Below are 27,200 nucleotides of genomic sequence, written 5' to 3'. Positions count from 1 at the left end.
GCTTGAGGTGAATTTTCTCCGAGTATGGCATTCCCTTGGCCACACTGATCAATGTAACCAAGAGTGGCTAGGACCAAAGCCATTCAGTCTATCTCAGAGCATATGATTAATACTACTATCAATAGGATTCCAAGCAGCAGAATTAGTCTAACTTTCGGCATTGATAACAACTATATTCTCTAGGCTCCCAGACCCAACTGGTTAAAGAAATCCCATAAACCATCAGGATATACCTTAGAAACCCAGGACTTTCTCCTTAAGCTTCTGTATTGACCTTTCCACTTGGCCTAAGGTATTGAACCAGGTACAGCAGGATCAATAATTACATAGACTCAAACCTTGGCATACAAGGAGGAAGTCTAGGGGTTAGAGCAATTCTACTGTCCAGAAAAACCCTGGCCAAAAGGTTGAGGCTGACATGACTGCCTTCCAGGACTGAGGTGGTACCAATAACCACATTACCTAAAATCAGGAACCATTTTCATAAGATCTTATCTGATTAAATGACTTTAATCATAAGGACAATTGCCTGTAGGGCTCATACAAATAATAAATTAGTTATCCCTCAGGAAAGCTCCCTTTAGTAACTAAGAGTAGCCTCATTTTGGAGGGATCTCTATAATCATCTGAAGGCTACATGATCTAATGGTGGTCTTTCTTTAAATACATATATATATTTTAAAATTCTTTAAAATATCCTAAAGAAAAGATTTCATTTTTTCTTTATTTTTAAGAAAAGACTTCTTACAAAGGTCTTTCTTTGGTGATGGATATCCCAAGTAAACGGATTTGATCTTTACAAATTAAATGAATATATTAAATTGTCACATGTACCCTGAAATGATGTATATCTTATGCATCAATAAAAATATTTTTAAAAGAATCACCTGGAGATCCTATTAAACTGCAGATTCTGATTCTATTTTTAAAAGCCTTTCTTTAAATACATTTAAATATATAAAAATTCCTCTAAGGTGCAGCTACATAAGCAGTTCAAAGAATGTGACCAGTTGCCACAATTTGCTTCCACTGTTTGCCATCCCAAACTTTTTTTTAATTGATTGATTAGAGACAGGGACTCATTCTGTCACCCAGGCTGGAATGTAATGGCACAATCATAGCTCACTGCAGCTTCAAACTCCTGGGCTCAAGTGATCTTCCCACCTCAGCTTCCCATGCAGTTGGGACTATAGGCATGCAGCAATGCCATGCCGGGCTTTTACAAAATTATTTTTTTAGAGACACGTCTTGCTATGTTGTCCAGGCTGGTCTTGAACTCCTGGCCTCAAGTTATTCTCCCACCTCAACCTCCCAAAGTATTGAAATTCCAGGTGTGAGCCACCACTCCTAACCCTATCTATCCCAAACTTTTATATGTCAGTCTGTAATTTTAGGAGTGACAGACCCAACAAGTCAGTCGTAATAGACCCAGAGTTAGTAAAAATATAACATGTTTCATCAAGGGGAGTATTGGCCAGTGATATAAATGGGCTTGAGTGCTGCCTATTGAGCAGAGTGGCCATGTCCATTCTGGTGTCTGCATAACTAGTGCTGAGATTGAAAAACCAGAAGACAACATTGAACAACTTGGCAGAACTATCAGTGAACCAATACCAGGGATTTAAAGAAAACCTATGAATTGAAGACATCATCAAGCCAAACTCCCTGTTTCAGGAGGCAGAGAGACAAAGTTTTAATCAAACAGAAGGCTACCACTTGTAGCCAGGTTGGCAGCTTTCTGGAATCTGTCATTTCTATTTGACAAACAATGTTTGTTGAACCCTTCCAATCCTGTTGGTCATGAGTTCAAGTTGACCCATCTCAAACTGAGAGTATCAGGCCAAAGGTATTGTCTGTCCATGGGTCAGACATTCAATTTCTTTTTATTATTATTTTTAATGTTTTTTTTTTTTTATACTTTAAGTTCTGGGATACATGTGCAGAACATGCAGGTTTGTTACATAGGTATGCATGTGCCATGGTGGTTTGCTGCACCCATCAACCGGTCATCTACATTAGGTATTTCTCCTAATGCTATCCCTCCCCTAGCCCTCCACCCTCTGACGGGCCCCAGTGTGTGATATTCTCCTCCCTGTGTCCGTGTGTTCTCATTGATCCACTCACACTTATGAGTGAGAACATGCGGTGTTTGGTTTTCTGTTCCTGTGTTAATTTGCTAAGAATGATGGTTTCCAGCTTCAACCATGTCCTTGCAAAGGACATTAACTCATCCTTTTTTATGACTGCATAGTACTGCATGGTGTATATGTGCCACATTTTCTTTATCCAGTCTATCATTGGTGGGCATTTGGGTTGGTTCCAAGTCTTTGCTATTGTGAATAGTGCTGCAATAAACATACGTGTGCATGTGTCTTTACAGTAGAATGATTTATAATCCTTTGGGTATATACCCAGCAATTGGATTGCTGGGTCAAATGGTGGCATGTGCCTGTAGTCCCAGCTAGTGAGGAGGCTGAGGCAGGAGAATCGCTTGAACCGGGGAGGCGGAGGTTGCAGTGAGCTGAGATCATGCCACTGCACTCCAGCCTGAGCGACAGAGCAAGACTCTGTCTCAAAAAAAAAAAAATTTTTTTGAACACACCCTTCATTGCCACAGCTGCTTGTGCTACAGAAAATAAACAAAAACAACAAAAATATCCTTTCAAATAAAAATAGAAACCAGAAATATCAAATTAATTTTTATTTTTTATGCCTTAAAATTGTGATGATTCTTTTACACTATCGTTATTGGATCTTTTGACAGGTTGCCTTGAAAAGGATTTAAATTTTTTATCATACATATTTACTGTTTCCACAGCAAAATAAGCTGCTTGTGAGCATAAAATATATTCACCATGTCTTAATATTCTTAATTCAATTCCATTTAATACATTTACCTACTTATAAAGAGAGAAATGCTATTGTATTTAAGTCCCTGATAAATATATTCTATATGAGAAGGGAACCAGTGATCTTTTTTCCCACTGAGATCCTGAACTAAACGGTCGACAGACCAAAGTGGACCTCTATAATTCAAATGTCACACTGCAAATTCAAACTGGCAGTCTTCCTTGAGTTTCATTTTACTTGCCAAGAGAACAATGAAGTACTTATTCTGATGCCAGTAGAACTGTGGGAAGAAACTAAGAGATTTGTATTTCCCTGAATTTTCCTCTATAGAAGAGGGCAGCTATGAGTGACTGAAGAGACATGTTATCATTATTTTAGTAATTCTATAATTGTACAAGTAATTGAATGTTGAAAAATATGGTGTTTATATAAAAATTGATTCGTGTAATTGCAAAAATGCTATCAGATCATCAGATAGAACCAGAAATTACAGTTACAGAATTTAAAGTACAAAAAAAAGTAAAACCAACACAAATGTCATTGGTGGTATTACATGGATTATGGTATTACATAGATTAATGATAAACATAGTCTCAATCTTACAATCTCCTTCTAGGGAGAATAATTCTAGTCCTTTCCTCACATGGCTGACTTGTGGTTTGTGGCAGCCATTCCTTCTTGCAAAGTGCTTGCAATACCAGGACTCAAAGATCTTTACTGCAAGATTCCTGGCATCTTTACACTGGACCACTCCAATACTGATTGCATGTAACCGCTTCCCACAAACACCCGCAGGTGACACCCTTGCAAGCCATATTCAGATTTGGTAGGTCTGAGGCTGGGTGGGTAAATCTGTACTTTTAAAGAAGTACCATGATATTCTCATACTGAAGCAAGTTGAAGACACAGAGTTTTAAGCCATTTTGTAAGTCCTCAGAGAGCAGGAACTATGTCATATTCATTTTATATCCACATAATCACATAACTGCAAAGTACATTATACACAGCAGATTTTAAATTATATTAAATACTGAGTTGACATAAAGCCTATTCAATAAATAAATTTAAAACATAATGAATAATTATATAACCACCACCAATAAACTAACAACTTATTTAAGGAAAAGGAACAGAACCACTCATTTTCATTGAAGTCCTCTGTGTGTGCCTCCTTGATTCCATTTCAGTTGCTTACTCTTCTGGAGTAATTCTGCTGAATTTTATCAGAGTTTTTTTTTTTTTTTTTTTTTTAGTTTTGCTATATTTTTATATCCAAACTATGTGTCATTTTGACATGATTTTATGCTTTATATAAATGGAATAATATTGTGTGTATTTTTTAAACATTTTACTCCAGCGTATGGTTTATCTTTTCACTGTCTTAAAAGTATTCTTTCGATGAACAGAAGTTAAGTTTTAATGTAGTCAGTTTTCTTAGTGGCTCATTTAGGAAACATTTATTTTTATTTATTTATTTTTTTTTTGAGACAGAGTCTCGCTCTGTGGCCCAGGATGGAGTGCCGTGGTGTGATCTCGGCTCACTGCAAGCTCTGCCTCCCAGGTTCATGCCATTCTCCTGCCTCAGCCTCCCAAGTAGCTGGGACTACAGGCACCCACCACCATGCCCGGCTAATTTTTTGCATTTTTAGTAAAGACGGGATTTCACCGTGTTAGCCAGGATGGTCTCAATCTCCTGACCTCGTGATCCACCTGCCTCAGCCTCCCAAAGTCCTGGGATTACAGGCATAAGCCACCACACCCAGCTGTAAGAAACATTGCTAAAAACTGAGGTCATAAAGGCATTCTTCTATGCTATCTTCCAAATTTTATATTTTTGCTTTTCACATTTACGTAGTCAGTCCACTTGAGATGGAATTTTGGGTATGGATTATATGGGGGCTCAACTTCACTATATTCTCTTTATTGAAGAGCCAAACATTTCTCAACTCTTCTAGAGTGTAATCTATGTCATAAATCAGGTTTCTGTATATCTACAGTGCTGTTTCTGGGCTCCCTGACCAACTTGCCCATTCTTTTGCCCCAAAGTATAAATTTATTAAAGTTTAATAATAATTATTTCCATTTTAAAGCATGTGAAATGCCATGGTTATTTCTCATGTATTGCCCTTTCATGTATATTTTAGCAATAGCTTATCAAATTCCATTTAAAAATCTTTTGAAATTATTTTTACTAGAATTGCACCAAATCAACAGTTACTGAATCTTCCAATCCATGAACAAGGTTTCTTTGTCCTATTTTATACACTTTCTTTGGTATATCTCAATACAATTTTGTTTTTCTCTATGAAGCTCTTCCCTATCATTTATGTCTTGAAGTCTTGTAAATGGTAACTTATAAATTATGTTTTCTCCTGGTTTGCAGACATATTGAAATAGATGTTTTATTTTACATTAATTATGTATTCAGCAAAGTTGCTATAACTTTATATTATTTCTAATAACTTATCTATAGGTACTTTTTGAGATTTTTTAAATAGACAATCTCATCATATGTGAATAACAGTTTCATTTCTTTACAATTTATTTCTTTAATTTCTTTTACTTGCCTTCCAGTACAATGTCAAATATAAAAAGTGACAGATTTTCCAATGTTAAACCATACTTGCATTCCTGGCTAAACCCAACCTAGCTATGATATATTATCTCTTTTATATGTTGCTTCATATGGTTTGCTAATATTTTGTTTAGGACCTTTTTGCATTGTTTTTATGAATGGGATGGACCTATAAGTTTTCTTTCTCATCATTGTTAGCTTTTGGTACCAAAGTTATGTTTTATTACTTCATACATCTCACACTGTCAAAGTTTTACTGCATTCCTGGTATCAAAGTTGTACTACTTTTGTTTTTCTGTCTTCTGGAATAAGTTATATGCAATTGGAGATATTTGTTCTAGTTTGGTATAATTGATAATAAAATGATTTTGACCTTATATTTATTTTCTTTCTTCTCTTTTTTTTCTTTTCCTCCCTCCCTTTCTTCTATTTTCTGCTGTTTTTTACTCATGGTGCTTTATTTTCCTGCGAACTTTGTACCTTGAAACCGTCAACTCATATTTCTCGAAACTTTAACTTTTTTTCTTTGAGTAAAGATGAACGCCCAAGGAAAGATATGCTTTTTTTTTTCTTCTGAAAAGTAACATAAATTAAGGCTACTTGTGATCATAATTTGTTAGAAAAAATTTTTTTGGCTTTTCCACTCAGCACCCAAGGTTTGACACTGGCAATTTTCCATGCAGTCCCTGGGGTGATAGATTTATTTTCACCTTACAGAAAGGTGTAGTCCATGGGGTTCCAGCTTTATGATGAAGTTTCCTAATTAGGCATCCCATATCAGGTGGACCCTGGGTTTTGTCTACTATAACTCAAAGCAATACCAATTACAGTATCATCATAACATTTAAGCATTAACGATAATTATGACATTATGATGAGTGAAAGAAGCAGTTCAAGAAAAGTATGTTCTGCTTTTATTGTAATTATATTCTAGAATTAAGTATGTTGTGCTTTTATTCTAATTACATTCTAGAATTGGAGAAATTAACTTATAGTTTCAAAAAGCAGACTGAATAGTTGTCTCAGGCTGAGAGTGACTACAAAGTTCCCTAAGGTAACTATTTGAGGTAATAAAAATGTCTTGTATCTTGATTATGGTGGTGGTTACTCATCAAACCATTAACTTAAATACACTTAAAATTAGTGCATTTATTGTATGTAAATTATTACTCATTAAAGTTAATATTTAAATGGAGCTATGTAATGATAATATATAAAATTATATCTTTAAGATCTGTGCATTTCACTCTATGTCAAATTTATCTCAATAAATCCATTAAAAAAATCCCTTTAGGAACTGAAACTTCAGAAATCAATTAGAGTTTTTAACATCTTTTATCAAGCCTGGCAAAACTCCATGATAAAGCAGCTTTACCATCTCAGTCCTTGGCCACATCACCATTCAGTTTTTATTGCAAATGGAAATGTGTTTCTGTGATAGAAAATATGTTTCTATGATTTAAGGCTATTTCTAAGTGAATACATTGGGAAGGAGATAAGGACATATATGCAGTATTGTAATTTAGGCCATTTTGACTATTCTGTTTCAACTGCAGGTTTATTCAGTTATGACTAAAAAGAAGGCATGTTACTGTGAGTCACCAAGTTGCTATTTTGATATTCCCAAAGGTTTTCAAGGGCTAAAATATGCACGTTTGTTTTTTTTTCTGGTTTTACATGAAGAAGATTGTGGTTTAGTGTGATAGAGATAGGGTCTTCTTGCAAATTCATGGACTCTCAAGACAATTAAAATGCTGTAGCAAGCAAAAGCCCATTGAAACCTGTCATTGAAGAGATTACAGGCTAATGGGGGGAATTTATGGATAAATAATGACAGAAAGAGATACACACAGTGCTACTGACACACTTTTAAAAGACCACTAGCCCAGCAATGCTTTGTGAAGGAGATGAAACTTAAATGGAACCCTGAAAGGTGCACAGGATTAAGCTGACATACAAGGGCAACAGAGTCAGTGTACTAGACACCATAAAAGGTATAGGAAACAAAAGGCATAGAAAATCCAGGGGATCCCGATGGCCCCTGGGAAAGTAAGTCTGTTTCCCAGGCATCCGTCTCTCACTATGTCTTTTAGCATTTTAGAATGTTTTGGTAAATTATTCAACTAATAAAATATATGTTTTTAAAGTCAGAAAAATACTGTCATTTGTGGTAGTTTCTATGACATCTCTTTAACACTGCAAACTCTGTGTTTCATCATTGTAATATTGAATTGTTCTAGCATTGTTTCTAGGGAGTACAAAGTCTACACTTTCAGAGAAATTTAATTACATGGAAGAATTTGATAAAGTTTATTTGGTATTTCGTATCTAGCTCATGAGTAAATAATATCACAATGTGGCAGTGGGAAGGAAAATATATTCAAATCATTTGCATCATAATTTTTTTAAATCAAAGAAAATGATCTGCAAAAAGATGACATTGTTTAGATGAAGGTTCCTATCCTAACCTGTATCTCCCCTTTACCCATCTTTCTGTCTGTACACAGTGTATTAAAAAATAACATCTCCATATATGAAGAATATTTCTAGAGAGAATCTTTCAAGTACAGGAGGATGTCTACCCCGTGGGATCAGAGTGAGTGTGTGTGTGTGTGGCGTGTGTGTGGTGTGTATGGTGTGTGCGTCTGTGGTGTGTGTGGGTATGTGTGGTGTGTGCGTGTCGTGTGTGGGTATGTGGTGTGTGTATGGTGTGGGGGCGTGAGGTGTGTATGTATTTGTGGTGTGTGTGGTGTGTGAGGGTGGTGTTTGTCGTGTGTGTGGTGTGTGTGTGGTTGTGAGGGTATGTGTGGTGTGTGTGATGTGTGTGTGGGCATGTGTGGTGTGTGTGTGGTGTGTGTGTGTGGTGTTTGTGGGTATGTGTGGTGGGTGTGTGTGGGTATGTGTGGTGTGAGTGTGGTGTGTGTGTGTGGTGTGTGTGGGTATGTGTGGTGTGTGTGTGGTGTGTGTGTGGATATGTGTGGTGTGTGTGCATGGGTATGTGTGGTGTGAGTGTGGTGTGTGTGTGGTGTGTGTGTGTGTTAAGCATGTGTATACACTACTTAGGCCAGTGCACATATGGATAGGGTCTTAAACGGAATGTTTTCCAAGCACCTTGTGATTCTTGGCTTTGGTGACAATGACTGTTGCTATAGATTTGGGGATCATAAAACAAAGGATATAATTAAATTTAATGATTTTAGAGATTAGACCAAATTGGAGTCTGTGAACAGGCTGTTAAATATATTTCCTTTATTCTTCAGTTTCCTCTAATTGCCATAAATCAGCCTGCCTTTTACATACACTCAACCTCCATTTTTAAGCACTGCTATCTATATTAACAGCAACTAAACATAACGAGAATTATTTTATTATTTAAAGTATAGTATCATTTTAGATATTTTGATATTTTAGATATTTTGATATGTCTACCATATAAATCATGCAACTAAATACTACTATAATTTAAAGATATATTTAGTGTTTTGAGAAATCAAGAATTTTGTATCAAAAGATTATTTTCTAAAAAAGTACTGGATTTACAGACAGTATAAATCACTATGTGCATTATTACTGTGTAAACATCATACAGACCTGCTGTTGGACATTTGCTTTTTCCCTTTAATTTGAATCACAAGATATTTAAAGTGTTAGGGGTTAAAAATATCCATGGCTAAATATTAAGAAATGAGTCTAAATTGCAGAACCTATACCTAAAATATATGCTATGTTTCAGAATTGTTTTTTGAATGATTATTTTCAAACTATTATTCAATGCACAAAACACATCACTCTAGAGAAGTTCTTCAGAACATACAGATAGTTAATAAGACACAAAGAATATTTAATTTTACATATGAAGCAGGAAAGTACAGGTAAGCATTACTTTAAACCAAAAAACAAACCTTAAGAAAATAGTTGTTATTGTTATTGCAGTTGCCAGACATTCCTTGCAATTCAGCCACAGTGTTCTAAAATGGTTGACAAAAAATATTAAAGAAGGCTTAACCCCCACCGCAGAGAGCAGCCTGATAAAGGATTGAAAAACACTGAGTCCCAGTGCTTACTGTAATACACACTGTTAAGTACTAAGACAATATTGCGGCATGTTGGTAAAAAATGCCCACACTCTTGGTTTCTCAGTATTATAGATACAGTATAAAGTCTATTTACATTATTATATTCACATTATTAAAAGGCCAACCATAATAATTGCATTCTCTTGTTTACACACACAAGCTGTTTCCAACTAGGAATGGCAAACAGTATGAGTCAAACTTAATGTTATCCCTCTAACACTTTTTATAACATAAATATTATATTATTGTATACCTTTTAATACTTATGCAAACCAAAGCTTCCATTATATTTTTGCCTCTAATTATGACATGCTAACACAAGCAATAAAAAACCATACCCATGAGGGCAGCTACTCTAAACTGTATTCAATACTTTAAAAGATTCTAAAAAAAAAGTTGCTATAATATTGTTATAATGATATTAATTTCCAGTAATGAAAACAAATTATGAAAGAAAGATTAAATTATATTTTAGGGGCTTCAGTATAGAAGGGGCTTCAGTTTCTGGAGTGATGATTAACCTTCTTATGAACTACTGCCTAAGGAGACTTTGAAATGCTATCTATAGCTAAGACTTTACAATGTAACAAATACTATATCTTAAAAGAATATTTAAGGAAGCCAAATAATCATAATTTTTAAAGTGTAATACTTTATTTTAATTTCAATGACCATACCTATTTTCTAACTCAAAAATGGAATATAGCACTAGTTCATACTGTATTTCCAGTCTAAGCCTGCAGCATTTCAAACGGCATAATGCTCTTAAATAAAAAATACTCATAATATATACACACTACACAAAATATATACCATAATTACATCATCTCACTACTAAAAGGCTACAAACTGATAGTGGTGGAGTATGACAAGAGATTAAATGTTACTAAAAAGTTAAATTCTAGTTGAAAAATTTATCATACCCCCCGAGTGTCATGAAATAGTGCTGATTGTCTGAGAGATTTATTGAAATCCTCCATGGCAACCTTTCAGATTATTAAAAAAAAGAAAAGAGAAAGAAAGAAAAAAAAAACAAGTGATCAATACTTCGATTAAACAGAAATTAAATCATGAATCACAGATATATTCAGATATACATTTAAAATTTTTCAATTGTTCAAATATTCATCTCCCTCTTCTTAAATAGGATCCTCCTTTTTATTCTACAGCTTTTAGGCAGAGCCATTTTAACATTTTTTTTTAATCAGAATGTTTAACAGAGAGTAAACAAAAACAGGGATGCAAATTAAAATAAAATTGGCTGTTTGCTTATTTTAAACCCTTCTAAAGATGTAGAGGAAGAAAAAAACAGAAAAAGCAGAAATTTAAATAGTTTGAAAATTATCTACATAGCTTAAATTCTACTAGAGTATGACTTATAATTTCCTAAAGCATTGAAACAGATATGTCTAAGCATAAGCAATATATTGTAAGTTAATCTTTCTCAATATAGTTTTTAGAGCTCCACTGTAGGTTTATAATTTCAGGATCTATTTCTCCCATTGTGATGTTTTCCATGTAGTGAATGCAAGCAAGCAAATACCCTCTGTCAATGTGACAAGTTCCAAGTTACAATCAACTTTGGATGATTTGATCAAAAACAGAAGCTATCTATCCTTCAGCAGAAAATGCTGACTAAGAGCTGGCTCTGGAAATCAGTTGGATGAACTTGGTTGTTCTGTATCTAAATGGAGGTTTTCCTGGCTGGTGCAGGGAATGTCACAGGAGATACTGTCAAATAAAAATAACTCTAACTTTGAAATCACAAGATGATTCTATAAATCATAAAAGTAAAAAAACCAAGTGACTGATTAACAAAGATATACTAATCAATAAATTGTTCAATTATATATGAAATTAACTCAATTATTCAAGGAGCATTTATCCATTAGCTATCCAATATTTGTTCTTCTCATTTCCTTTATGCCTCTTGGACATTTTATTCTTCATTCACAAAGAAAGACAGAGAGTAAATAGAAAATAGGGAAAAAGCACTCAAATCAATCCATTTAATAATTTTTTCAGCATTAGAAAAAAGAATTTGAATCAAGTGACAATTTGAAGTTTTAACATTGGAGTGGATTTTCACTATTTGTACAGCTTTCATCTCTCCTATGCACTGAAAATTAACAGTTGGTTTTATCTGGGCATGTTTTGTTGAGGCAGTGTGTAACATACAAGAAAGGGAAAAAACCCAAGTCACAGAGGATGAGAGACAGATACAAAGGAGAAGTCTCCTTGACTTTTTTCCATAAAGTGAGTTACTTGGAGTAACATAGCAAGCACCTCGTTTTTACTTCTACAACTTGCAGAAAGAAAAACAGTTTAACTTAAAGCTAAACTAATTAAAAAAAATTTGAGTACTCAATTATTCTTCTCTTTAAACTCTATAAAGATGATTCTTATGGACTGTTGCATAGAGAAAATAATTATCCAAAGACTTGATTTCCCTATTATTAGAAATACAGAACAAAGAATCATAGAACCTAAACTCCATCACCGCAAACAGTAATTCTCTTAACATCTTTTGTTACCCAGTTATTCTGTGTCTGCAGGAGTGTTCTTACATGCTACTCAAAAACAGCACAGTGTGTTGCAAAGAGTCCAGGCTTTGGAGCCAGCAAGACTTTATTCCAATTTCAACTCTGCCAGCTACTGGATGTACCACTAGAAAAAAACCTCAGTTGCTGCATTTCTAGGGAAAAAAAGAAAATCTCTTCTGGCTGCATTAAAGATTAAATGAGATCATGTAAGAAAGACACCTTGCAAAGTGCTTGCCACTGAATATTTACTTAATTTCCTTGCCCCTGAAAATATCTGCTCAGGTGACAACTCTGATTACTTTACAAAAACAGGCAAACAAAAAAAATCTATAAACAATCTTCCATTTAAGATGTGATACATTCCTAAGTATAAATGTCAAGTAAAAACTATTCTTTTTCCATCTATTCCAATTATCAAGTTAAAGAAAAATCTGGGCCAGGTAGGGTGGCTCACACCTGTAATCCCAGCACTTTGGAAGGCTGAGGCAGGAGGACTGCTTGAGGCCAGGAGTTCAAGACAGGCCTGGACAACATAGTGAGACCTCATCTATAAAAAAAAAATTTTTTTTTTTTAATTAGCAGGATGTGGTTCTGTGTGCTTGTTGCCCCAGCTACTCAGGAGGCTGAGGCAAGGCAGGAGGTTGGCTTGAGCCCAGGAGCTCAAGGATATAGTGAGCTATGCTTGCACCACTGCACTCCAGCCTGGGTGGCAGAGCAAGACCCTGTGTCGTAAAAAAAAAAAAAGAGCAAAATTTTATATCAACTTTTGGGGATGAATGTGATCAGCGCCTCAAAATACCTGCAGAAAATGTGTGGTCTGTGATCTAAATGTTTTACTTGGAGTGCCTTAAAAATGTGACTATCTTCTTTCTTTGCCCCCTCTGCTTGTTAGACTTGATGTCTTATTTCATATTCATGGAACATTAGAAGCTGGAAGGAATTTTGTGATCTAGCCCAATCCCTGTGCTTTCATGCCAAAGACACCAAGGCACACAGACTAGAAAGCCTGGCCATGTCCCCTTCCACCACTTGATGTCACTGTACTCCCCTGAACCTAAGACCAAAAATCCTAGCACAGTGAGGACGCAAAAATCAAACCTGCAGAAAATGATTCTACAATCTCAGAATAAGCTTGCAGCAAAAGCAAATCAGTGTCTCTGATAAAATACAAAATACTAATGTAAAGAATTGAAAACCAGGTAAGATACAAGTTCAAAATATTTGAGGAAATCCCTTTTTTAGTTTGAAAATTCAAGAGAACATTTTTCATACAAAATATCTCAGTGTAATGAAAATATACTTGCCATTTCAAATGGACTCACCAAGTAAGAAAATAAATTAAATCAAGTTCTAAGAGTCTAATTCATTCATTTAAAGGATTTCTAATATATTATTCTTTGATCAAAAGTTAACGGATATACCACCTCTAATTTTCTGCTATAAGTGGAGAATATATCCTCATTATACCACATATTCATGAGATCTTAATATACATTGGGATTAAAACATCTCAGATTAAAAATATGTGAAAATATTTGAATGTCTGTTTATTAATATCTATATCCTGGCTAGAAAGCAAAATTCTGAAAAATTATATATTCAGATAAGAAGGGGTTGAATACATGAAGTTTCACTGTGGTTATATTAGCTGGAATGAAGAATATTTGTTTTACCTGAATATGTACTAGTTTATGGAGTATAAAATACTACAATTAAATTGTTGATGGATCTTTTGACACACCAATATGAAACACATGAATGTTTAAACGTGTTTATAATAAAGCATGTTGTCCCATTATATCAATGTACATTTCAAAGACATTAGAAATAGACCAGCATCTGTATTATATTACAGCACACAAGGGTTCTGGAGAGCTGTTTTCACTTGGGGGTTAGCTTCTATTCATTTACTTGATCTTTTACAGAAAGCAGGATGTAAAATTATTCCAATATGTATCTGCTCTATGGAACATGTGCTAGTGGAAAGCTTTGTTCTGCATTATGTTAGCACAAATCATAGTAAGCAGATCCAAAGAACTTTTTCTTCCTGGGGGAAAAAGACACTGGAAACACTCAGCAATCTTTAGTACTTTTCTATGTATATTTGTTTGTGTATGGGTGTGTTTACTGATTTTTTGGAAAAGCATTACATACTATTGTAGAACATTTGGAAAAGATTGAAAAAATATAAAGCAGAGAGAGAAAATCACCCAATTCCACCAATAAAGATGACATTATTCACATTTTTGTGTTTTTATCCTTTTCTGTTTCTATGACTTCCTTTATAATAGTGCAAAAGATAAGACTTATTTGTGTCCACAGTCTTCATACTGTAAACAGGATACCATGACTTGATTCTTAAGCGTATATCAGATGCGAGTAGTATTTCTTTTCTAAGGTAGAATTTTAGTTCAATGTGGACACACCTTCCTCAAGAAACTGCATAAAACCTGTCATACTGTTATACAGTAGAGAGAGTTTCATGAATTAGAAAATGTGGGAAAAAGAATCTTTGCAAGCACTACTGACCTCGTCATCGTCGGCATCATACTGGGCATAGTGCTGTTCCAGCAGCTCTCTCTGGCGCCTCTCCTGTTCCAGTGTCTGGCTTATCAACTGGGCAACCTCGCTCACTTGTCCTGGTTTTTCCCGCCCAATAACAAATCTGTGGAAAGGTTAACAAAGACTAATATTTAAGACTCTCCAACAAAAAGGAGTTTTAAGAAAAGTAAACAGGTTTGATCTCAGCAGGGTCCATCAAGCCTCAAGAAAGTAATATCACCTACGTACTTCAAAATGGTTTTCTTGGGTGAGAAGAAAGCTTAGATGTGCAATTAAAGTGATTTTTAGGGACACAGCTCATAAAGGAAAAGAAGGGGGAAAAAAGTAAAGGACCATAAAAATTATCATTTTAAGAGAAGATGTAATATACGTAACCCATTCTGCAGTACTTTACACATTTTTGATGCCATACAAAATAGAAGCAAGCTCATAATTTCCTGTACCATTGAACTAAAGAAGCATTTGTGTAACTATAACAAAAATTACTTCAAAAACATTTTGAGGGCTGGGCTCAGTGGCTCAAGCCTATAATCCCAACACTTTGGGAGGCAAAGGTGGGTGGATCACCTGAGGCCCGGAGTTCGAGAGCAGCCTGGCCAAGAAGGCAAAATCCCGTCTCTACTAAAAATACAAAAATTAGCCGGGCGTGGTGGCGCGCACCTGTAGTCCCAGCTACTCTGGAGGCTGAGGCAGGAGAATCGTTTGAATCCGAGAGGCGGAGGTTGCAGTGAGCCAAGACCGCGCCACTGCACTCCAGCCTGGGTGACAGAGACTCTGTCTCAAACCAACAACAACAACAACAACAAACATTTTGACGCATAGCATAACTCAGGTGGCTAAATATATAACTTTGAAATAAGAGAAAAGGAAAACTTAAGTGTTTTTTGTTTTTAAAATGAAAAACTGTAATAACAAGAGGTAGTGAATTAATTCACTTCCTTTGGGGGGAAAGATAGTATGAGAAGGGGTGTGATTCAATAAATAAGGGAGGAAAGGAAATATTTGTTATTAATGCCTATAAAAAAAGCCTAAAGAGAAAAACAAGTAAGATATTTCCTTATTGCAAGCTACAGTCACTTATGGTATATTGTTGCCAACATAATGTGTTGTGCTCAACAATTTAATATTCATTTTTTAACATCTTTTCACACTAATATGTTTCTGTTTTTCTAAAAATACGAATAATGTGTCTCTAGGATGCAGTTTCTAAGTATTACTTATCATTATTTTAATATGAATCTTTGTTTAAATCTTGTTTCTACATTTAATTGATGCTTTCCTCTGATTAATGTATGTTGCTGTCTTTGATCAATTTTAAATGAAATATACCACAATTTTTCTGCACAATACACTAAAGGTCAAAATTTTCACACTTGGATGTTAGTAATTAATTGCCTTTTAATAAATACTTTTATATAGTTTCAAGCAAGATTTACTTTGAAATTATCTTTAAGTGTTCACTTATCTTTTGTGTTATTTTCCTTTGGAAATCAATTATTAATAGAATTTATAAATACTACCTTTTTCATCTTTATTCAGGTACAATTTACACACAATAAAATACATGAATTTTAAATGTACAGTTCAATAACTGTGATACATATGTAAACGCGTAATTACCACACCAATGAAGATACAGAACATTTCCATCAACCCAAACTATTTCCTTATAATCCTTTCCAGTAAGTCATCTTCATCCTGGGCCTATATTAATCTTTTCTAGAATTCTATAAAAATGGAATTTTAGAGTATCTAGCTTGTTTTGCTCACCACAATGATTTGGAGGTTTATCCATGTTGCTGTAAGTATCAGTTATTTGCTCTTTTTTATCACTAAATAGTTTTCCATTGTATTCAATATACCACATTTGGATTATCTATTTTTCTACTGATAGGCATTTGGGTTGATATTATAAAGAAAGTTACTATAAACATTTGTGAACAAGTCTTTATGTGAACATAAGTTTTCATTTCCTTTAGACAAATAATGGAATTGATAAGTCATATGGTAAATGTATAATTAACTTATAAAGAAATTGTCAAATTGTTTTTCGAAGTAATAGTATCATTTCATATTCCCACTAGCAATGCATAAAAGCTGTAGTTGCTTTGCATCCTCATCAACACTTAGTACTGTCTTTAAAAATTTTGGCCATTCTAGTAGGTATCTTGTGGTATTTCATAATGTTTTTAATTTCCATTGCCCTGATGACTGATGATATTATCTTTTCATGCACTTACTGACCATTCACATATCTTCTGCAGTGAAATATCTTTTCAACTGTTTTACCCATTACTGAAAATTGGGTTGTCTTTCTATTATTGAGTTATAATTGTTCTTTATAGACAAAAATACACATACACACACACACACACACACACGTATGTGTGTATTTTATTTTTAAAACAGAGTCTTGCTCTGTCACCCATGCTGGAGTGCAGTGGCATGATCACAGCTCATTGTATCCTAGAACTCCTGGGCTCAAGCAATTCTCCTGCCTCAGCCTTCTGAGTAGCTAACAAGCATGTGCCCCATGCCTGGCAAAGCTCATTTTATAATTTTTTGTAGAGATGACATCTCATTGTTTTGCCCAGGCTGTTCTTGAACTCTTGGCCTCAAGTGATCCTCTCACTTTGGCCCCCCAAAGTGCTGGGATTACAGGCATGAGCCACTGCACCTGGCCCTTTATATATTCTTGACACATATCCTTGTCCATGTATGTTCAATATACATATACAAACATACACAATATACATGTAGGTGTTTATGCATTTAATTTATTTATTAACTCGTCCTAGTCTGTGGCTTGCTTTTTCATTTTTTAAATTGTATCTCTCAAGGAAGTCTAATTTATCACTTTGTTATAAATATTCATGCTGGACACGGTGGCTCATGCCTGTAACCCCAGCACTTCGGGAGGCCAAGGTGGGAAGAATGTTTGAGCCCAGGAGTTCAAGATCAGCCTAAGTAACACAATGAGACCCGTCCCTTAAAAAAAAAAAAAAAAGCCAGGTGTGGTGGCATGCACCTGTAGTTTTAGCTACTTGAGAGGCTGAAGTGGGGAGACTGCTTGACCCCAGGAGGTCAAGGCTGCAGTGAGCCATGATTGCACCAATGCCCTCCAGACTGGGTGACAAAGCAAGACCCTGTCTCAAGAAAAAAAAAAAAAAACTGATGGCTTTTGCTTCCTATCTAAAAAGCCTCTGCCTGATTTAAGATTGCTAAGATTTTCTCCTATTTTTCTCCTTAAAGTGTTTATGTTTTGCTTTTATATTAGGTCTATGATATCTTGTAAATTGATTTCCATGTATGATGTGTGGTAAGGGTGGAGTTTCCTTTTGTATTTCTAAATGGATAATGAATTGTTTCAACATCATATGCTAATAACACACTTCTCTGATTACTATATAATAAATATTTAGGTGGTGTGAGTTTTCTAACTCTGTATCAATTGTTTTTCCTCTGCAATTCCATATAAATTTTAAAATCAGCTTGTCAATTTCTAAAATAAAGCCCATTGGGTTTAATTTAGAATTGCTTTGAATTCTAAATTAATTTGTGGAGAACTGACATCTTAGCAAAATTGACTTATCTGATCCCTGAACATGGTGTATCTCTATATTCATTCAGATTTTTACTTTCTCTCAATAATATACTATGGTTTTCAGTATATAGGTCTTAAAAAATGTTTGTTAAATTTACCTCTAAGTATTTCATTTTTTTTTTTTTTTTGGTATTGTAAGTGATACTGGCTTTTAAATTTCTGTTTCTGGTTATTTGTTTTTAAAGTATAGACATATAATTGATCTTTGAATACTGGCCTTGTATTCTGCGACCTTGCTAAAGTCATTTATTAATCCTAGTACCTTTGCAGATTTCCTAGAATCATTTGATATATAATATCACATCTACTATGAAGAAATACATATTTTACTTCTTCCTTTCCTATCTGTCTATTTATTTGTCTATGTATTTACTGCCTTAATGCCCTGGCTAAAACTTCCAACATATATTAAAAAGAAGGGGTAAGAGTAGACATCCTCACTTTGTTCACTGCTGATCTAGAATTCTAGAATATGAGTTCTAGACTGCCTAGAGATACACAGAATAATTTTATTTAGCAATATTATGTTTTTTATGGTTAAAGATACATAAAGTCTTTAACATGCTTAAAGAATCCATAGACATATAATGACTACCTTGAATTCATTACATTTTTGGTAAATTTTTAAATGTCAGAAATTACGTCTAATGATACAAATACAAAGCAATTCAGAAGCTTATATCCTAGAATGGTAACTTTAGAAAAGCCTAGATTGACCTTTTATCTTTATTTAAATGCATCATAGAGTAGCATTTGACAGAGTATCACTTACTACAAAGTTGACAGGAAATTGAGGGTAGCAGTTAATGTATAAAATGCATATAAATTGAAAACAGCAGCCAAGCTCAAGGTAAAAGGTAAATTAGAATTCAGATTAATTTAAGCCATAAATTCTTTAAACTTATTCAAGAATGTTGTTGTCAGATCTTTTAGTTTAACAGTTTTTCTAATAGGAATAAAGTTCATTTTCTCTGAAAGACAAGTGCTACTCAAACTACAATTCGGGGAGAAAGAAAAATGATTTTAGAAATTATCTGCTAGCCAAAGATTAGAAACTACTGCTGCTATTTCCAGAGGTGAATGAAAGTGTCTTAAGAAAGACCCTGTGAGAGATTTTAAAGCAGAAAATTATTTTTAAATAGTTCAGATTATAACAGGTTATATAATAAATTAGTCAATTATCACAATAAATCAAAACTCAAATATAATTTGCAAATTTCTTCCTATCCTCAAAAAAAGATCCCTAATTCCAAACCAGAATTATCTGTGAAGCTAAAATTAAAAAGAATAAATGCATTTATAATAGAAGTTTGAGAGGAAATAAGAATTGTTCCATACTGCATAAGAAAGTTGCATTTTAAATCATGAAGGCACAGTTGCTCAAAATCACAGCTTCGCTTTCTCAATTTGCCCTACAATTTAACATAATTTGCTATTTGTCCAATATTGCTTTGTATTCAAAATCACTCTACAGTCTTATGAAATAGAAATGATTTATAATTGCGCATAAGACAGACAATTCATCTCATGAAATATACTCACTTTTAAAAGTGTAATGTTAAAGTACATATATCTCTTCATTCAGGCAGCTATTTTGAGCAGTGTTATAGCACCCAGATCCACACATCTTTAAAGCTTTGTAATCCAATAAATTTAAAGCACAGATTTGCAATAATAGAATGTCATCCTGATAAGTACGATCCAGATGGAAAGCACACAGAAGTGGAACCAAACAACAGTCCCCTGCCTCATTTTCCTCATGTGGAGATCAGTATATAACCTCATGTGTCTGAAGGAGTGATAAAAGAATAAGATGTGGTACATACATGAAAGAATTTGAATGCACTATTGTTATTATGATGAAACTGATAAAATCTCCCATATTGAAAAATCTGTAACATTCAAATTACCTTCCTATACGTTCTTAAGTGTCTGGTCTATTTTAAGCTGTCTTTATAAATATGTCCTGTAAGATTATATATGCAACTAGCATAAAGAGAATTCAGCAGAAAATGTAAAATTTAAAGTAAGGTTATTATTTCAGTTATGAATTCAGAGTATGGGTATGCTATGATAGTACAACTTAGGAGTTAAAATGGTAAGTAAAAGGGAAAACCAACTTTGATGGGACAAATCCACCAAACTATAAATACCACCTACTGATTCTGTGACCTTGGATGTATTAATATTTCTAAGCCTTTGTTTCCACAGTTGTAAAATGAGTATACTAACCAGAACAAATATTATATAATCCTTAAAAAAACTAAGTATCTGGTGCTTAGTGAGTGTTTAATAAATGTAAGCTGTTGTTTTAATCTAGACAAGGCCAAATGCATTTAAAAGTACCTCCTATAGACTGTTCTGAAACTTTGGTGGCAACATCAATAGATCATGTATCATCTTTTCACTAGTAAGCAAAGAACATTAAATTGAAAAGAAAATAGAGATGCCATTTCCTATCTATCCAGTTAATAATAAAATAATAAATTAAAATAATAAAATTTAATAGTGCTGAGGCCATGGTGAAACTGCATATTTATACATTACTTATTGATTACAACGCACACTGTTACAATATCTTTGCTGGGCAATCTGAGAGCAGGTAATAAACACGATGAAATGATGAAAAAAAAGTACTTACTCTACACACTGTCCCAATTCCCTTTTATTTGATCACAGTATTGAAAATAGAGTTGATTTTTTATGAGTCAACCATAGGAAAAGGATAAAATCTTTAATCTCAGATGTGCTCTGAAAACCAAAATTTCTGTTGCCACTGAAATATTAAAGTATAAATCTATATAATCACTTTAATTGAATTTTTAAAACCTTCAAAAATATAACAATAGTCAGCAATAATCAGTCCTAAATATGTGTGACCAAATCAATTGATATTTCTGCACAACTATGATTCATATCTTATACATTGTCTGAAACTGAACTGACAACATGTGTTGAATCAGCCTGTTTTAAAACTTAAATTTTCTTTAAGATTAATAATATTTTCTCTTGTCACATTCTAAATTTTTTTCTTTGCTTCAACAAACAAAAATAATGTGTGATAGTAAAATAGTGTGATCTTTTTATCTTTTAGCTATAAAGAATAAATTAACAGAAACAAAATCTAATGAATTAAATTAAAAATTAAGTATTTTTTCTAAGCTTATCATCGCCAAATAATACAATACCAAAACTAAAATCTACAATTAAGGTTTATGTTTTTAGCATGGTTTTTTATTGTGTTAAACAAAATTACCTTGGACAAAATTACCACTATATAGAAGGAATAAATACTAGTGTTCTATACCGTTGTGGGATGACTCTAGTTAACAATAATATATTACAGAGTTTCAAATAGCTAGGAGGACATTGAATGTTCCCAACATAAAGAAATGATAATGTTTGAGATCATAGATATGCTAATTACCATGATATGATCACTATACATTATAAATCAAAACATAATTATGTACCACTTCAATATATGCAATCATTATGTCAATTAAAATTTTTTATCTTGTTTTAATGTGCATTATTTCACTAAGAACTGCCCTCTCTCCCCTTCATGTTGAGATACAATAAGTCAAGGCAGATACATCAGTTATTCCTTTCTTTTCATTTATTATCAGGCCAAGAAATATCCATGTACTGTTCTTTGGAGTGTAGGTATCTAGATTACGTGGGATTCATTTCATTAGTTTATTTGGTAAGCTGTCAAATACAAGTTAAACAACAATTAAACTGTATTTACAATTTACTAAATTGAAGTCATAAAGATTCTACATGTTCCATGTAAATGACGAGAGGTTATAAAAATGATAATTTATGAATTCCTTATTTTTCAGATGTAGTTGTTTTAATAAAATTTATATACTAGTCAAAAATGGCACTTATTCAATGCTGAAATTTAAAAACTCTCAATGTGGAATTAAGTTTCAGTAAAAATGAAAAAGCTGATTGTGGAGTCAAGATGGCAGACAGGAGACAGGGCTGACATGCAGCTCCCACTTGGACAGACAGAACAATGTGTGGGGACTCACAATGTGGACTTTTAATCCAGGAACCACCACAGGAATGTACCAGGAAAACTAAAAGAATTCACAGATGCTTTGAAAGAAGTGGCAAGCCACTGCAAGTTCTGAAAGACAGGCCAAAAACTCTGGGGCTCTCTTGAAAGCGCCACCTCCTGGATGGAGGCCGACCAACTTAGGACATTACAGCAACTCATGACAGAACAATCCTGTTCCAAGGAGGGAGAAGACAACAGCTAATTTCACTGCCTGCAAAATCCCAGCAAACCAGTGGTTCTCAGTGTGTCCACGTGACAACTTTACTGCTGGCATAACCAGCATTCAAGAAAGCCAGCATCCTCAACGTGTCTAAAACCAAGGACTCTCACACAGTCTATTTCACAGCCCTGCCAACTCCACCAGAGCAGGTACTGGTATCCATGGCTGGGAGACCTGAAGAAGGATCACATCACAGGATTCTTTACAGACATTTCCCAGCACTAACACAGAGCCTAGTAACCCTGCTAGGTGTCTAAACCCAGAGGAGCAATAACAGTCACTGAAGTCTGGCTTGCAGGAAGTCCCATCCCTAGGGAAAGAAGAAATGTACCACATCAAGGGATCACCCATGGGACAAAAGAATCTGAACAGCAGCCCTTGAGTTCCATATTTTTCCACTGAAACAGGTTGCTCAAATGAGAAGGAATCGGAAAAGTAATTCTGGTAATGTGGCAAAACAAGATTCTATAACATGCGCAAGGGATCCAAACCAAGAAGAAATCTCTGATTTGCCAGATAAAGAATTCAGAAGGTTGATTACTAAACTACTCAAGTAGATACCAGAGAAAGATGAAAACCAGCTTAAAGAAATTAAGGAAAAAATACAGTATATGGATGAAAAATGCTCCAGAAAAACAGATACCATAAAGAAAAACAATTACAACTTCTGGAAATGAAGTACACACTTAGAGAAATAAAAAAAGGCACTGGAAAATTTCGACAATAAAATTGAATGAGTAGAAGAAAGAACTTCAGAGCTCAAAGTCAAGGTCTTTAACCCAATCAGAAAAAGACAAATAATTTTTAAAGAATAAACAAACCCGGCCGGGCGCGGTGGCTCACGCCTGTAATCCCAGCACTTTGGGAGGCCGAGGCAGGCGGATCACGAGGTCAGGAGATCGAGACCATCCCGGCTAAAATGGTGAAACCCCGTCTCTACTAAAAATACAAAAAATTAGCCGGGCGTAGTGGCGGGCGCCTGTAGTCCCAGCTACTTGGGAGGCTGAGGCAGGAGAATGGCGTGAACCCGGGAGGCGGAGCTTGCAGTGAGCCGAGATCCCGCCACTGCACTCCAGCCTGGGCGACAGAGCGAGACTCCGTCTCAAAAAAAAAAAAAAAAAAAAAGAATAAACAAACCCTCCAAAAAATTTAGGATTATGTTAAACAGCCAAACCTAAGAATAACTGGTGTTCCTGAGGAGGAAGAGGATCCAAATACAATGAGGCTCAAAGAACACCTGGGAAATAAATCACAAAAAGATGACCACCAGCAAAAAGATCATCACCCAGGCACGTAGCCATCAGGTTATCTAAGGAAAGAATCTTAAGAGCTGCGAGGCAAAAGCAAGCGGTAACCTAAAGGAACATAAAGTGGTAACATAAAGGAAAACCTACCAGATTAACAGCAGATTTCTCAGCAGAAACCCTACAAGCCAAAAGGGATTAGGGTCCTAACTTTAGCATCCTCAAACAAAATACTTACAAACCAAGAACTCTGTATCCAGCAAAACTAAGCTTCAAAATGGAGAGATAAAGGATTTTTCAAAGAAATAAATGCTGAGAGAATTCATCACCACCACACCAGCACTACAAGAATCTTGAAACAAACCCTTGAAATGCACCAAAATTGAACCTCCTTGAAGCATAAATCTCATGGGGCCTATAAAACAATAACACAATGAAGAAAAAACAAAGTATTCTTTGGGAGGCTGAGGCAGATGGATCACTATGTCAGGAATTCAAGACCAGCCTGGCCAAGATGGTAAAACCCTATCTCTACTAAAACTACAAAAATTATCCAGGTGCAGTGGCAGGTGCCTGTAATCCCAGCTACTCAGGAGGCTGAGGAAGTAGAATCACTTGAACCCAGGAGGCAGAGGTTACAGTGAGCCGAGATTGCACCACTGCACTCCAGCCTAGGCAACAGAGTGAGATTCTGTCTCAAAAAAAAAAAAAAAACAAAACACAACACAGACACACACACACACACAAACAAAAACAAACAAACAAACAAAGTATTCAGGCAATAACTAGTGTGATGAATAAAATAGTACCTCACATCCCAATACTAACACTGAGTGTAAATGACCTAAAGGCTCCACTTAAAAGATACAGAATGGTAGAATGGATTAAAAATCCACCAACCAAGTATATGCTATCTTCAAGAGACTTACCTAAGGCATAAGGATTCACATAAACTTAAGGTAAAGGGGTGGAAAAAGATATTTCATGTAAATGGAAACGAAAAGCAATCAGGAATAGCCATTCTTATATCAGACAAAACAGACTTTAAAGCAACAACAGTTAAAAAAGACAAAGAGGGAAATCATACAATGATGAAAGGACTAGTCCAACAGGAAAATATCACAATCCTAAATATGTATGTACCTAACGCAGCACTCCTAAATTTATAAAACAATTATTACTAGATATAAGAAATGAGATAGATGGCAACCCAATAATAGGGGACTTCAATACTCACCTGACAGCACTAGACAGGTCATTAAGAGAGAAAGTCAACAAAATAATGGACTTCAAATGGACTTAACAGATATTTAGAGAACATTCTACCCAACAACTGCAGAGTATACATTTTTTTCATCAGCACATGGAAAATTCTCGAAGATAGACCAATAAATTAATAAATTAAACAAGTCTCAATAAATTAAGGAAAATCAAAATTATATCCAGTGCCCTCTCAGACCACAGGGGAATAAAACTGGAAATCGACTCAAAAAAAACCCTCAAAACTAAACAAATACAGGCAAATAAAATAATCTGGTCCTGAATGATCTTTGGGTCAACAATGAAATCAAGATAGAAATTTAAACATTCTTTGAACTAAACAATAATAGTGACACAACATATTAAAACTTCTAGGACACAGCAAAAGCAGTGCTAGGAGGAAAGTTCATAGCATTAACTGCCTACATCAAAAAGTCCAACAGAGCACAAACAGACAATCTAAGGACACAACTCAAGGAACTAGAGAAAGAACAAAATCCAAACCCAGCAGAAGAAAAGAACCAACATTAGAGCAGAACTAAATGAAATTGAAACAAACAACAAAAAATACAAAAAATCAATGAAATAAAAAGCTGGGTTTTTGAAAAGATGAACAAAATTGATAGACCATTAGTGCAACTAACCAAGAAGAGAAAATATCCGAATAAGCTCAATTAGAAATGAAATGGGAGATACTGCAACCAATACCACAGAAATACAAAAGATCATTCAAGGCTACTATAAACACCTTTATGCATGAATCTAGAAAATCTAGAGGAAATGGATAAATTCCTGAAAATATACAACCCTCCTAGATTAAATCAGGAAGAAATGAAAACTCTGATCAGATCAATAATGAGTAATAAGATTGAAATAGTAATTTTAAAAACTGCCAACAACTACAACAAAAGTCCAGGACCAGAAGGATTCACAGATGAATTCTGTCAGGTGTTTAAAGAATAATTGGTACCAACCTTTCTGAAACTAGTCCAAAAGACAGAGAAGAAGGGAATCCTCCCTAAATCATCATATAAAGCCAGTATCACCCTAATACCAGAACCAGGAAAGGACAGAACAAAAAAAGAAAACTACAGACCAACATTCCTGATGAACATAGATGCAAAAATCCTCAATAAAATACTAGTAAACCAAATCCAACAGCATATCAAAAAGATAATCCACCATGATCAAGTGAGCTTCAAATCAGAGATGCAGGGATGATTTAATATATACAAGTCAATAAATGAGACACACCACATAAACAGAATTAAAAACAAAATCATATAATCAACAGATGCAGGAAAAGCACTGACAAAATCCAGCATCCCTTTACAATTAAAACCCTCAGCAAAATTGGCATAAAAGAGCCATACCTTAAGGTAATAAAAGCCATCTATGACAAACCCACAGACAACATTACACTGAATGGGGAAAAGTTGAAAGCATTCCTCCTGAGAACTAGAACAAGAAAAAGATGCCCACTTTGACCACTTCTATTCAACATAGTACTGAAAAGTTCTAGCCATAGCAATCAGACAAAAGAAATAAATAAAGGGTATCCAAATTGGTAAAGAGGAAGTCAAACTGTCGCTGTTTGCAGATGATATGATCGTTTACCTAGAAAACACTAAATACTCATTCAAAAAGCTCCTGGATCTGACAAATAAGTTCAGTAAGATTTCAGGATGCAAAATGAATGTACACAAATCAGTAGCACTGCTGTACACCAATATCGACCAAGCTGAGAATCAAATCAAGAACTCAACCTTTTTTACAACAGCTCCTCACCCTCCTAAAAAAATATTTAGGGAGTTTCGAAAGATCTCTACAAGGAAAACTACAAAACGTTGCTGAAGGAAATCATAGATGGCACAAATGAATGGAAACATATCCCATGCTCACGGATTGGTAGAATCAATATTGTGAAAATGACCACACTGCCAAAAGCAATCTACAAATTCAATGCAATTCCTATCAAAACACTATCATCATTCTTCACAGAACTAGAAAAAAAAAATCCTAAAAATTTCTATGGAACAAAAAAAGAGCCTGCATAGCCAAAGCAAGAATAAGCAAAAAGAACAAATCTGGAGGCATCACATTACCTGACTTCAAATTATACTACATGGCTATACCAAAACAGCATGGTACTGGTATAAAAATAGGCATGTAGAAAAAAGGAACAGAATAGAGAACC

General features: G+C 34.6%; 1 protein-coding gene and 1 long non-coding RNA gene across 48 annotated transcripts in view; one reads left to right on the top strand and one right to left on the bottom strand.

Annotated features, from left to right (window-relative positions):
- Positions 1–27,200, bottom strand: part of PPP1R9A (protein phosphatase 1 regulatory subunit 9A) — a 389,180-nt gene that overhangs the window by 83,358 nt on the left and 278,622 nt on the right. For 27 of the 44 annotated variants that reach the window (XM_047420580.1, XM_047420589.1, XM_047420594.1 and 24 more), the window contains one exon: positions 14,574–14,709. In XM_047420580.1, coding sequence (XP_047276536.1) covers positions 14,574–14,709 — 136 coding nt within the window. Of the gene's footprint in view, positions 1–9,327; positions 9,394–10,424; positions 10,488–14,573; positions 14,710–27,200 lie in introns of all 44 variants that reach the window. The other 17 variants (XM_047420574.1, XM_047420573.1, XM_011516381.2 and 14 more) reach the window with 2 other exon arrangements.
- PPP1R9A-AS1 (PPP1R9A antisense RNA 1) overlaps positions 1–27,200 on the top strand; it is a 178,641-nt gene that overhangs the window by 1,275 nt on the left and 150,166 nt on the right. The gene's annotated exons all lie outside the window — the stretch shown is intronic.

This window comes from Homo sapiens, chromosome 7 (assembly GCF_000001405.40).
Source record: "Homo sapiens chromosome 7, GRCh38.p14 Primary Assembly".
NCBI classification, from domain to species: Eukaryota; Metazoa; Chordata; class Mammalia; order Primates; family Hominidae; genus Homo; species Homo sapiens.
This window is presented reverse-complemented; position numbering and strand designations above follow the sequence as displayed.